Source organism: Homo sapiens, chromosome 2, assembly GCF_000001405.40.
Source record: "Homo sapiens chromosome 2, GRCh38.p14 Primary Assembly".
Taxonomy (NCBI): Eukaryota; Metazoa; Chordata; class Mammalia; order Primates; family Hominidae; genus Homo; species Homo sapiens.
This window is the reverse complement of record NC_000002.12, coordinates 100,191,523-100,205,839: the sequence shown is the minus strand read 5'-3', so window position 1 is coordinate 100,205,839 and position 14,317 is coordinate 100,191,523.

Sequence of the window (14,317 nt, the reverse complement as noted above, 5' to 3'; positions counted from 1 at the left end):
TGGCTAATTTTTAAATTGTTTATAGACATGGAGTCCCGCTATGTTGCCCAGGCTGGTCTAGAACTCCTGGTCTCAAGTGATCCTCCCCCGTCAGCCTCCCAAAGTGCTGCAATTACAGGCGTGAGTTACAGTGCCCCAGCCTGTGCTAGGTTTCTTATTTGCTGTCTGGAAACCTTCAGGGAGACAGAACTTATTCCCACCTTTCATTACTTTTAGGAAGGAAACCACAGTGACTGCGCAACTTGAGAGATGCCTCTAGGTGCAGTCAATGAGCCCTGAAGGCCCTTGGCAATGCTGTGGCACAGCTGGTGTCCCCGCAGCCACTTCACATGTGCCCCACTCTCCAAACATAGAGGCAGCCCAGTTTTGGCTGTCTCAGACACCTCTTCACACTGATCTGACGGCAAGTGTGCAAAACATAAAGACACCATCCCGTGAGCTTGACAGGCCCTCACATCGGCCCAGGCTGACCAGATCTCATACGAAAGGTCACAGCCTTCTGTAAGAGCCATACTCATGAAGATTGCGGTGAAAGTGCATTGTGGTTTAGTTAACAGTGAAAGGAGTGGTTTGCATTTCCTATCATCCATATTTCATGTGCTACGGTTGAAAGCTGCAGAGCAGGACACCTGGAGCCTCCCAGTCTTCATGCTGACACTTACTTGATGCGTGACCTTGAGCAAGTCACTGGTCTCTCTAAGCCTCAGTTCCTTGTCTGTAAAATGGAGCGAATGCCTGTTTAATCTATAAAGTGCAATAAATCACACAAATTCTCCTCACGCTCAGGATCTTTAAAAGCGAGCAAAAACACAAAATTGTTTTTAAATAGTTGAAAATATGACACAGTGCAAACTATCATTATCATTATGTTTTTAATTGAAATCTGAGTCATTTTTTATTTCTTCTAAGCCAAAAAAAAAAAAAAATCTGAACACTTTACTGAAAAATAGATTGGAAAATGTCTGTGGCTGGCTGATAGGAAACTACTTCCAATTCCAGAAATACCAAAAATGGCATCTCTGAAAATCTAGCTCTGGTTTGGATGCACAGGGCATTTGTGATCTCATAAACTTGCAAACAGCCAAGGGGTGTTTTATCAAGTTGGAAACAATAGTTTGAATTTAGTCCATATGTGTCAATCTTCAAGTTGCAACTTGCTAGTCATACTAGTAGTGTCATTATTACCGTTGAGTGATGATAGCCATCTGAAAGCTGGGTTAGAATGGACAGGCTTACAAAATTTTATAGCAGCTCTAAATGACAATCTAATGCATCCAAAGCCTCTCTATCCCCTACCTAAACCAGCACTTCACAGCTATGGAAGACTCATAAAATTCCGAGCCTGGCAATTTATACTTAATCTCTCTAAAGAGCATGTGTTCAGAGCAGCCCCCTACTCTGTGAGATGGCATTTGAGCACCAACACCTCTGCTATATAAAACACCTTATCAGTAGTAAATATATTAATTTGACCCCAAGGGAGAGAAGGTGAGAGCAAATCAGCCGCAGCAAGCCATTTACATTCTTTATTTCTGCAGATGAATTCTCCGTCTATTTTCATCTTGTAATCAGGCACTTGCCAAATACACAAGAATTTCATTTTCTATCTCCACAGCATATGTGTCTCCTTACTTTGATATGTCCTGTTTTTAGGAAGTAGAGATGTTTTAAAATTATATTTCAAACAGGAAAAAAATCAGTCTCCATATAATTAGTGAATGTAACCAGATTATTTGCAATCAACATATACTTAATGCCTTATTACCCTAATGGAAGTTATTGTAAGTGATGATAAAATTGGCAGAAATAAGTTATGCTAAGTGATGATAAAATTGGTATTATTAAGTGATGAAAACCTTTTACCTTCCGCTGTTTTTTTTTCCCCATCTCTAATCTACCCAAATTCATCTTTAATGAGAGAACCTGGAGGACGCATTTATGGCACTTAGGTCAACGAGGAAAACACAGCAGTTTTTACCCACAGCCAGAACACATTTGCCGACCTCCAACCTCAGAGGGCAGAGGCAAGACGGACAGTTGGAAAAGCTCTCAACCTATTATTTGTAAGCTTTATATGTTCTTGCCCATTAGTGCATTCCTCTTTGTTCCTAATCTGTGGTTTTCCTCTTGACCTGTGACTCCCAGTCTTAGTGTCAGAGAAGAAATCAGAAGCAAAATGATTATTCTGAAGGCAGAAGAAAAACAAATAGAAAGTTACGTGCTGGCCAGGTGCGGTGGCTCACACGTGTAATCCTAACACTTTGGGAAGCCGAGGTGAGCAGATCACTTGAGGTCAGGAGTTCAAGACCAGCCTGGCCAACATGGTGAAACCCTGTCTCTACTAAAAATACAAAAAATTAGCTGGGCATGGTGGCATGCACCTGTAATCCCAGCTACTCGGGAGGCTGAGGTATGGGAATCCCTTGAACCTGGGAGGCGGAGGTTGCAGTGAGCCAAGATCGTGCCACTGCACTCCAGCCTGGGGGATAGAGCAAGACTCTATCTCCAAAAAAGTAAAACAAAAGAAAGAAAAAAAAAGAAAGGTATACGCCATATAAATGAGAGAGGTCCTTGGAGCTGGGAGGGTGGGCTTCTTAGCCCCGGTGCTAGGAACTAAGAATGAGTAACAACTGAAAAATCCCTCTCTTTAGCGGGTAGCAGGTCACCCGCTCGCACTTGACTGATAGTTGTGGGACACCTTGGCTCTCTTTAGGAACACGTCTTTGATAACCTGAAGGAGAAAAAAAAATAAACATGGATTTCTAAGTTGGCTATAACTGACTCCAGCTTTCCTGCTAAAAGCTCTAATGATATCTTCATGTCAGTGTGAGTGAGGTTGATGAAGCAGATGGGAACCTGTTTTCAGGGGTGAATGAATAGCAAATCGCTGGAGAAGAGCATGGTTGGCCTGCAGTTCCTAGGTCATAATGCTCTCGAAAGAAACAAAGGCGTGTATTTCCATTCCTTTCTCCCCAGCCCCACCCCCAGGATATAAGCTCTGTGCAGATGGGCACTTTGGCTTGTCCGTTCAACCACTTTCTCCTCAGCACCTAGGACAGGGCCTGAAGGAGCTCCGCACATGCTTGGATGAGGCACACGTGATGTGATGATGACCATCACCCAGGTTTGAAAAGAGGAACTGAAGGAATTAATGATCCCTTACTTGCAAACCTTCTCATCTTTCCAGAACCTCCCTTTCTGCCTCAGTTTCCCCTCTCTTTCCAGAGGCTGGCATTTGGAAGCCCTGGGTCATTATGATTCTTCCTCCACTGCTCACCACGTTCCATTCATTGGCAAATCATGTCCTTTCTGATCTACAGTGTCCTTTGGATTCCCTCTGCCAGGTACAGGACTGGACTCTCTTGCCTAGGCAGCTACTGCAGCCTCCTCTCTGGTCTCCCTGCCTCTACAGTACATCCTACAGTCTAGGGCCAGGTTGGTCTTCCTCAAGGACATCTGTGGTCATTGTCTGTATGCTCAGGAGTTTGCAGAAGCTTCCCACTGTCCCAGGCATGAAGTGCAGTTGCCTCGTGCAGGCATGTAAGGCCCCCAGGATGGAGCCCAAAGTCACTTTTTGGCCTTGCCCTCTCTGGATACATGACACTTTAATAGGGCTTCTTTGATGCTGAGTACATTTTGATGTGGCTGTTTTAAAATGTAGGTTTTAGTATTGTTCCAGTATGGTGAGGCCTAGAGATCAGGAGATGACAGCCATTGAAAAGATAGTTTGTTACTCACAGTTCCCGAGAAGTGAGGACAGGCCATGCCATGCAGGGCCACATGGGAAGTACCAGGGGCTGTCAGGAGGTAGAGAGATTGAGGGGGAAACATGGGTGACAGCCTTTATTGTGGTTTCTGCAGGAAGGAAAGGACAAGGCAGTGTAGGCAGGCTTAGGATTGGCTGGTCTGAATAATTTCAGCAGGCTCTGGGGTGTAGATGCCTTCCTGGGTTGTCTGGTACTTGGCCTTGGGTGATTATAGCTTACTGGCGTAGTAAAGGCAAGTCACTTACTATCTCTAGGATTTGGCCAGCCCTGGAAGGGGCAGTCTCTTCAGAGTCAAGCAGGGCCCCAAGATGTCAAAGCACCAGGAAATATGGACAAGAAAAAGCATGATTAATACAATGGTCTTAAAAACCCCTCGAATTATTAGACTGTTAAATAACGCCTAAAATAGTCTCACCCCGTCCCTGGGCTTCCCCAACTCTAAGACTCAGTCCAATGCAGATGCTCCCTACACTCCTATCTCCAGCTCCAGATTGGCCCTTAATTTTCTGGAAAATGCTCAACAATGATGGGAAATTAGACTTGAGCTTTTCACGTTTGCTCTCTGGGGAACTGCTGATCCTTACATTTAGATGTACCCCACACCTCGGTCTCAGCACGGACGGCCACTTCTGTGTCTGAAAGCCTGTTGTGGTCCATTTCCTTTACAATTGGCTATTAAGAATCCAAACCAGTCATCTGTTCAGCTAGGCATTTGCCATTTGGCAATTCATAACGCTTAAAATAGTCATCTCAAACTATTTTCTTAATTTTTAATAGGCTCTGTCTGTGCAACTGGATGCTGATTCCTGAGAGCGGCCCCTCTGCTCAGCCTCCCAATTATTTAAGAACTTGGCCAAGCCCCTAAAGACTTTTTTTCCATCTCATAGACTTTTATTCCGGCTTTAGGATAGCATAAATTCCACCTGATTACTCACTTCCCTGTTTTGTCCACACTTAGTCATTAATCAGTTTTATTAAAAATGGTGGCTGACTCAACTTGCCATTATATGTAAAAGCAGTTAACCGTCAGTATTTGTTTGAGAAGGACTCTCTTTTGAAAATCATTTTATTTCATATTTCTTCCCAGAAAACACGTGGGTAGTGAACACAGACATGAGAATAGGAGACTATCATTTCTTACATATTTCTCAATATCTTTCTTTAAAAGGAATATGTTATTACCTTCTTAATCTGTTGAGAATTATTTACTGTATTGTAGTAACTTTGAAAAACACCATAGATATGCAACAGGTTAAGAATACTTATTAAAAACTATAATTAAGGTCTATCCCCTAATCTGACAATAAATGAAATAGTAGATGTAAAAAAAATGCTTTTATAATTAAATTGTTCTCCTCCAAATGTCTTTTGTGCTGGAGGATTCAGAAAAAAAAAAGCTCTCAAGGAATAATTTCGTTGTCTGCTATTCATTATGGTAGTGTTTTTAGTACTCTACATTTTTTATCTATGCCTAAATGCATATATAAAAATAAAGGACATCCAACTTTGAGTGGTTAATTGCACGTGAAGTAGTGAATCCCATAGGACACAATCATTTGCAAAACTTGTAGGATCAGCTAATGCCCGTTAGTGAAGATGATTAACATGGAGCCAAGCTTGCCTGAGTGGGTGGTAATACAACTTTGGACACTGTGCTAGCTAAATATTTTTATGTAGATTTTCTCATTCAATCTTTAGAATATGCTTAGGAGGCAGATACTCTGATGTTTTCCATTTGGCCAATGAGAAAACTGAGCAGAGGCTTAGGGAGCCGGGTCCCTGACTCTGCCTTGGGTTCAGGCTGCTCTCCGCTGGGCCACCTCCCTGACCGCACCGAGGGCCGGTGTATTGATCCATTCTTTCACTGCTGCAAAGAAATACCTGAGACTGGGTAATTTATAAAGAAAAGAGGTTTAAGTGGCTCACCGTTCTGCAGCCTGTCCAGGAAGCACGGCGGCATCTGCTCAGCTTCTGGGGAGGCCTCAGGAAACTTACAATCATGGCAGAAGGCAAAGGCAAAGGGAAGCCAGCACTTCACATGGCCAGAGCAGGAGGAAGAGGGAGGAAGGAGGTACCACACACTTTTAAATGACCAGCTCTCATGAGAACTCACTATCATGATGACAGCACCAAGTGGCGGATGGTGTTAAATCATGAGAAACCGCCCCCATGATCCAATCACCTCCCACCAGGCCCCACCTCCACACTAGAGATTACATTTCAACATGCGATTTGGGTGGGGACACAGATCCAAACCTTAGCAGCCGGCCACCACTTTTCTCACAGTGGCCAGCTCACCATCACAATATGCTCTTGAAGAAAATAAAATGATCACACATGACCTGGAGATTTGAGGACTATGTCTTGGTGACCATTTGGGCCAGGAACTGCTGAACTTCAGCTGCCTTTATGGAGACTGTAAGCTTCACGGGGACAAGATCCATGTGAACCTCGCTTCCATTAGTCCCTCCAAACCCCATCCCAGTGCCGGGCCCATGGCAGAGCCCTGCTAAGGACAATCTCATGGACAGAGCTCCTGCCTAGGAGGTCACTTGGGGAGTCAGGTGCCTGGTTTGGACTCTTGCTTCTGCTCTTTGCTGTGTGACATTAGGCAAGTCACCTCACCTCTTCGAGTCTCAGCTTTCTCATCTCTAAATATGAAGATGAAATCTGCTTCCTGGGGTGGTTGTGAAAACAAGTGAGAAAATTATTGTGAAAGTGTTTTGTAAACTGTAATTAATATAAATATAAGCAATTAACCAAGATCCAGTTGCCTTGCAAGGCACTGATGGTGAGGCCCAGGGACCTCCAGCCGCTTGCTCTCCAGGCAGCCTAGCCATCCCAGGGACCCCAATGCCTGAGTCCATATTGGGCAGGTTCCCTTGGAATGCTGAGAATGAAGGTGAATATACTTGGTCATGCCATAGGAACTTCAGGTCAAAACCCCACACAGCTGAGTCCCTCTGCTGGCCCTGCTCCAAGGCGGAAGAAGGGTGATCTCTGATACTCACTGTCACTCACTGTGTGCTGGCCATGTCCCATCACCAATGAGGCGAGCAGAATCGCCTCATTCACAGAGGGGAGAGGCTGAGACCACAGCCTGGAGGGCAGGCACAGGCCCCTGAGCAGGGCAGAAGCCACGGCAGGCTGCCTTCCAGGGCTGCCATCCAACTTCAGAGCCCCCAACCGACCACGGAGGTGCACTGACAAGCTCTCCTCTGAGAACCTGAGGAGTTTTGAGGCTAGGATCTGTCTATCCCGCTCACTGGGGCCCAGCCCCATCTGGGAGATAGTGCCACAGAAGCTGCTGGCTCACTAAAAATTAAACCTTCCTCCAGCTAAGTCCAGGGCACAGACTGAAAGGACCATCCTTCACTGACTGCTTGTGAGGAGGCGTGACCGTGCCCGGCCAGGCCCTGAGTTGCTGAGCCTCTTGAGGAGGGGGTGAGGGCAAATGCGGGTGCCCCAGGCAGAGCAGGGAGGACGAGGGGGAGAAGGGCTGTGCTCTGCCGAGGGCAGGTTTGCAGGGAAAATGTTTTAGTTTCTGTTTTTTATTAAGGTGAGATACATGTAAGATGAAGCATTTAAAATTATATAGCACAACTCAGGAGCATTTAATATCTCCCCAGAAGCACGCAGCCGTCACCCTTTCCAGTCTTAAAACATGTCCATCACCGCTAAAGGAGAGCCTGTGGGGATTTTGGAACTGTGACCCTGACCACCTCCTTCAGATAAGTCCTCAGGGTGCCTTGTGCTGCCTCTGCGTAAATGGATTTCAGGGGGAGGGCCTGGGGGATTCCATATCTGACTCTTCCTCAGGACAGGTGACACAGGAGCCAAAGGCAGGTGGGACCCACACCTAGAGTCAGTCTGGGGGTGGCAGGAGTCAGCAGGAGGCCACTGAAAAGGGGGAGTTTGTGAAGCCACCTTTACCTCACAGGACAGCCTCTTCAGAGCTCTCCAAGGACACAGAGGCCCCAGCTGACCTCTGGGTTATATAAGCCATTTGTGTGTCTAAAAGGCAGCTTCCCAAGCTCAGCACAGAAATTTCTAGTACATAAAATGCCTTCCTCCGAGCTGTACCCATTGTGCCTTGCATTCCAGAAGCAACTGTGCTTCAGACAGCTGCTGTAAATTGTCCATGAAGCAAGGCTGTTCTCCTATTGGCTCTGTGATCATCTCCAAGGCAGCTTCCCATCTCTCACTGTTTCTGCCTTGGGCTGATAATGGTGCAAAGCAGGCGAGGAAGGGAGAGGGCGGGGAAGAGGGGCCCGAGCTCCCTGCTGGCCTTCTGGGCAGCAGCCTCCCAGGAGCAGGCGGCGGCGTCCAGCTTCCTGGAGCCACAGCCAGGCCCAGGCATGAGCTCTGCCCCTCCCCCAGGCTGCTGCTGCCCGCACCCCAACCTCTCCTCTTGTCTAGAGTCAGAGCCACATTTTTTATTTCCCTCTGGTGCATTTCTGGTATTTCTTAGTTGTTTTACCGAAAAGCCACTTTGAAGAACATCTCTATTCTTTAAAGCGAGGTGTACCTATGTACTCTTGAGCTAAGATTTTATTTTATTGAGGATTTCCTTATATTGTGATTATTTAATGGACAATCTGCCCTGCTGGGAATGGCAGCAAATGAAACTATTGACAGGAAAAAAAAGATGCACTTTCTGAGACACACTTGGCAAAGCAAATCCAGCTTCTTACAAGAAAAGAATGTAATGAATTTTTCTCTATTTTTAGTCACACATAAATCCCTTTAATAGGTTTGAGCTCAAAACTCCATATTTGTCTTGGCCTGAAGTTCAATTTACAGGGTAAGTTTAAAGGACAGTGTGCTTGTCCGGCTCTGCGCATCACGTCTCCCCAAGTGGGCAGAGAGGCCTGCAGGATCCAGGGTGTCACGGCCACCCTGCAGCTGGGGCCCTCACACATGTCCGGGGATAGAAAGGAAAGGGCCTCCTCTCGGCTTTTCTGGGAGGAGATCAGATGGGGATAAAATGCCCACCGTGGGCCTGGGAACAGCAGTTATCATATCCCAGTCCGGAAAGATGGGAGGGAACAATTTTGAAGTCCACCCTCAGGGAATTTAAACGAAGGCCCCAGCGGGAAGGGGGTGGGATCACTACACTGAAATGAAAGACGGAGAAAAAGAAAAGCATTGCAGCGGCCGGGCGCGGTGGCTCACGCCTGTAATCCCAGTACTTTGGGAGGCCAAGGCGGATGGATCACTTGAGGTCGGGAGTTTGAGACCAGCCTGACCAACATAGAGAAACCCCAGCTCTACTAAAAAGACAAAATCAGCTGGGGGTGGTGGCGCACACCTGTAATCCCAGCTACTCAGGAGGCTGAGGCAGGAGACTCACTTGAATCTGAGAGGAGATGGTTGCGGTGAGCCAAGATCGCACCTTTGCACTCCAGCCTGGGCAACAAGAGTGAAACTCCATCTCAAAAAAAAAAAAAAGAGAAAAAGAAAAGTGTTGCAGCCTAGGGTCACTGTAAGACTCTAAGCCTCCCTGTTGGACAACTTAATTTTTTTTAGGTCTTAACACAGACAGAGAGTCTTTGCCCTGCACAAGGGATACGGCCAGGATTATGTAGAGGGAGGCAGGCCCAGCATTGGCAATGAGGGGTGACTAAGGAGACAACATTAACAAGAGAGATCAAAGCCATGGCCAAACCAAAAGTTGCACAAGGGCCACGCCATGTCACCAGCCCCGTAGGAAGGCAGAGGCATTGGAGGCTGCTGACAGTGAACAAGAAAGGGTAGTGTCTTGACTTCAGAGGCAAAGTACCCTAAAGGACCACATGGGACTAACCTGGGAGCCCTGCCAGGAAGCTAGAAGGACATTGTGGGGTGGGGGAAAGAGGGTTTAGGGAGTCGTAAGCAAAGCAACCAGCAGACCCATACCTCCTTGACCACAGCCTCAGGTTGCCATGGTTTGGGAGTCCCAACCCACATATGTTTACATCAGGGCAACACACTTGAGATGAAAGAAAAACACTGCAGCTCACGTTGCCTGTAGTCCGGAGATGACCCCTGTTCTTACCATACGCCATGATTAGTGATAAAACAGGGCTTAGAGCTTCTGGGATCAGGGAGGGGCTGGCATCACTAGCTAGGGGTGTACCCACGGCTCACCTCCTTCAACATCTGCCCAAACCAGCTGCCATATGAGCAGCCAAGACGCACTGCATTGCTGCGGAACAGCCCATCCTTTCCACGCCCCCTCCTCCTTCCAACTCCCCTAGGAGTCAAACCAGGTGATAGCCCCGTATGCCTAGCAAACTGCCTTTGTATGATGCTCTGTGCTGCTTGAAGCACTTGAACAAGCTTTCACTCTGTCCCCATCAGCCCTCAGTGAGACAAGCAAGGCAGGGAGGTGCATCATAGATTTGTCATTGAGAGACTAAGCCACAGAGAGGCTCCGCCACTGCTCAGGGTCAAAAGCCCTGCGCTAGAACCCAAGTCTCTCCACTCCAGTTCTGATGGATGCACCATGGCCCTCCACAACCCATGGGATATCAACATCCTGCTGGGGTGATTTTTAAAGTATTCCTTTGAAATGCATGTGGCGTAGACATACATAACTCATTTTTTAAATCTACATAATCTTAAAAATTACAGCATACAGAGAATAGCCTCCTTGAGACTGCCAGCATTGACAGCACAAAGCAATAGAGAATTGGAAATCAATCTGTTTTCCAGGTCAAAATCCTTTAGTATAAGCTCTCATTAAAGGCTTTTAAAAGCACCTTTGCTGCCTTCAAGTTCTTTAAATGTCTTTTGCCTTCTTACCGCCTTTTGTGTGTGTGGTAAGAACACTTAACATGAGCTCTACCCTCTTAATGTTCAAGTGCACAGAACTGCATAATTAACTAGAGGCACTGTGTTGCACAACAGAGCTCTGGAACTTGTTCTCTGCACTTTAAGCATAAACAGCACCACCTGAGCCCCTTCAATGTGGTCACCAGGTGTGTCTGTTATTCCAGTCATAGCTGGGAACCTGCACAGTGCCTGGCCCCTGGGTGTTTACTGGGGAGGCAACAGAGTGCACGCCTATTGTCGTGGTCTCATTTTTCAGAACTTCTGGTGGAGAGACATAGGGTTTGAGATTTTTCTGACTAAATCACAGTAAGAAATCTACTCCAAACTTTACATTCTAAACTTGCATAGTTTGAATAACAATGGGATCTTAGTTCCTCTAAGTCTATGCCCAGGTTCATTCCCCAAAGTGCAGAAATCGAACCCCGGCCGTTCTCCCTACAGTGGTGGAGGAACCAAATCTACCGAATGTTCCTTCTGTCTCAGGAAACAGAAGGACCAAGCCAATCTAAATCTCATTTTTTAAGAGAATTATGTTTTGAAAGGAGGAGATTTATGCAAGTTTTCTGTTTAATTCAGAGCTACAGGGAAATCTAGATTGATCACAAAAGTAGTTTCCACCCTTCCCTGTGGCATTGGAAACAGCACGTGCTGCACATGCCGTTGTGGAGGTCTGACCATCAGTGAATGCACTCAGTCATTGAAAGAACAAGACAAAACCCCCACACTACTGAGCACCTCATTTTGATTTTTACTCCCAAGGCCAAATGTTAAATAGAGCTCCTCTGCCTTGGTGAATGAAGACATTATCTGTGATTTACAAGGGGTAGCTGGCTCAGCAGACACATTTACATGTGCTAATAACTGCAAACCAGACAGCAACTTCCCCATATATAAAACGATAACTGATAAATAAGCCAAACTAAACAACAGCATCAACAGCAGAAAAGCTCTAAAGGAACAACAACAACAACCAAAAATCTTGAAAACAGGATTTTCTCCTCTATACTTTTCCTCCATACTTCTGCTTCAGCTCCAGGGTGAGCTCTTCTTGGAAGGACTTTGCATTGGTTGCTGTCTGCTTGCTCCCCACCCAGATCACTTCTCTCCCTTCCTCTGCTCTGTTCGGTGTGTGCCCCAGTAGTAGGCTGCCCTCTGCAAAATGCATTGTGCTGGCAGGACTTCTGGTTGAGTTCAGCCAATGGGAGAGGCTGGCAAGAGATTGGAAGGCATGAAGAAAAAGAGGGAATTTCTTCTTCCTTCTTCCATACCTTGGGGCCAGGCCTCCAATTATAAGCAGGTCCACAACTCTGCCTCCTTGCTCCAACAGGACTGTTTCCTTTTCTTGTCCCTTAGCCCCAGGAGAAGCAATTGAGAAGGAACAAGGACCCATTCTTTTGTCCCTCCCGACTCCCTATCATACATGGAAATAAAATAAAGTCTTGAGTTCCTTCAAGGGAAACTCTAGGAACCTAGCTAGCCCTGAGAAAGTAAATGAGCAACTTGGTAAGCAAGAAGGTGATAGCAGCTTAAAACAATAGCCAATGGAAGTTAAAAATCACAAGATGTTTGGTTCCCTGTGGAAACTAAAGATAACATCTTAACGTATGTCCCTGAGTTGTTCCTCAGAAACCCCGCCCTCACCAAATGGATCTGCTGGCCTATAGACCTCAGATAAGAGGAAACTGCGGACTAAACTCTGACCACCGTTGTTTGTTCTAAATTTCTTCCTGAGGGGCCTGGAGGAAATGAGGCCCACGGGCCACACCCAACATTCTTTTCTGCTGATTCCAAGTCTCTAGACAAAGCTTCTCTTCCTTAGCCAATTGCAAATCAGAAAATGTTTGAATCCACCTATGATGTGTAAGGCCTTCCCCACCTTCAAGATATCCCACCTTTTTAGGCCAAACCAATGTGTAACCTGCATGCATTGATTTACGATTTTGCCCATAACTTCTGCTTTCCTGAAATCTACCCCTGCCTTTAAAAACTCTTGCTTGCAAGCCATCAGGGAGGTCAAGTCTTAAGCGTGAGCTGCCCAGTTCTCCTTGCTTGGCACCCTCCTTTCTCCTACTGCAAAACCTCAGTGTGAATGTTTGGTCTTACTGCACCAGGTGAGCAGACTCCAGGTCGGTCCAGTAACACAATGGAGTGCTGAGACCATGTGGACCTGGTGTCTGTTCCCAATTTTCAAGAGACGTCCAAAACACTGGGTTTTTATTTTTAAATGTCCAGAACTAATCCAAAAATAGAAAAACACTGATGAAACCAAATGCAATATGTCAAGAGACCAGAGGCTGCCAACTTCCCATTGCTGGCTTCAACTATAGACCTAAAGGCCAAGCAAGAGTTAGCCGGGTAGAGAGGTCAGTGTGTGTGTGTGTGTGTGTGTGTGTGTGTGTTAGTGTACACACACATATGTGAGTGCGTGTGGTGGGGGCTGGGGATAGGTGCTTCAGTGGAAAGAGAATTCCAGGTAAAAAGAACAGCATGAGCAAACACCGCAAACAAAGTCAGAGCTGGCAGGTTGAGAAAAGAAGAGGAATTTTATTGGCTGAGGAATGGGACATGAAGGAGACATGGTCATGGAGAGGCTGAGTGAGCAAGCGGGGCTGGTAGAGAAGGTCTGGCTGGGCCAGTGTGGGAGGCACTGCTGATTGCGCTACCCCTGGCTATACTTCTTCACAACTGGAACCTAAGTTATTTAATTAGGAAGCAGCAAGTCACTGAGAGGAGGTGAGGCCCCTCCCCACTCCAAGATCTAAGCCAATCATGGTAATATCCCATGACCACTCCAGGGATTGGTTTCACACTAAAAAGAATGCAATGCTGTGCTTGCGGAGAAGACAATGGGGAAAAGAGCTTTCTACAGAGGTTTTCCTAATAACTAAGAGTGGCACAGGAACAAAGGTCCCCTCCCTGCCTTTTGCCTTTATTCCCCTGTGGGTATATTCTGGCTACATCTTAGGATCAAAAGAAAAACCAACCTCAGAAGAAGAATCAATGTGCTGGAAGGCAAAGTGGCCAGATGCAGAGAATTTCGTCCATGATGGGATCCTTGGGCTGAAGAATTAAGTGGTTCTGAAGCTTCTGTTCCTTGCACTTCTTGTTCTGTGAGGTATGAAATTTTCTTATTGTTGACCCATTATGAGTTCTGTTGTCTGATAATTACTGCAGGAAATGTATGGAGTAATCACCACTGGTTAGGAAGTTTGCACTTTATCCCGAGGGCACTGGGAAGCCATTGAAAGGCTTTAAGGACAGAAGTGTCCTAAATCTGAAGGATCACTCCCACTGTGGTGCAATAGAGGGACACTGACAGGCAAAATAAGAGTTGGGGAGGAAAATGTATCTTTTATTTTGTCCCAGAAACTCAGTTCCCTGAGGAAACTCTTCCTTAATCTGTCACAGCACCTTTCGTATGGTTGGCCCTTATGTTTGTTCAGTGACTGAGATGAATTGCTGAGTGGTCATCCCTTCCCTTACCACCGAAGTAGCTGGAGGTCTGCCTCCAGCTGGGTCAGTAGAAAATATCCACAGGTTTCCTTAACAAGAATTGCCAGTTAACTTTTTTCTTTTCTTTTCTTCCTTCCTTTTTTTATCTTTTCCTTCTTTTCTTTTCTTTTCTTTTTTTTTTTTTTTTTTTTGCAAAAAGTATTTCTATTGCCAGAACCAGCTCTGTAATCAATTGACAGAGCATAGTGCAAAATGAATACATGAAGCCCCTTGTCCAAAAA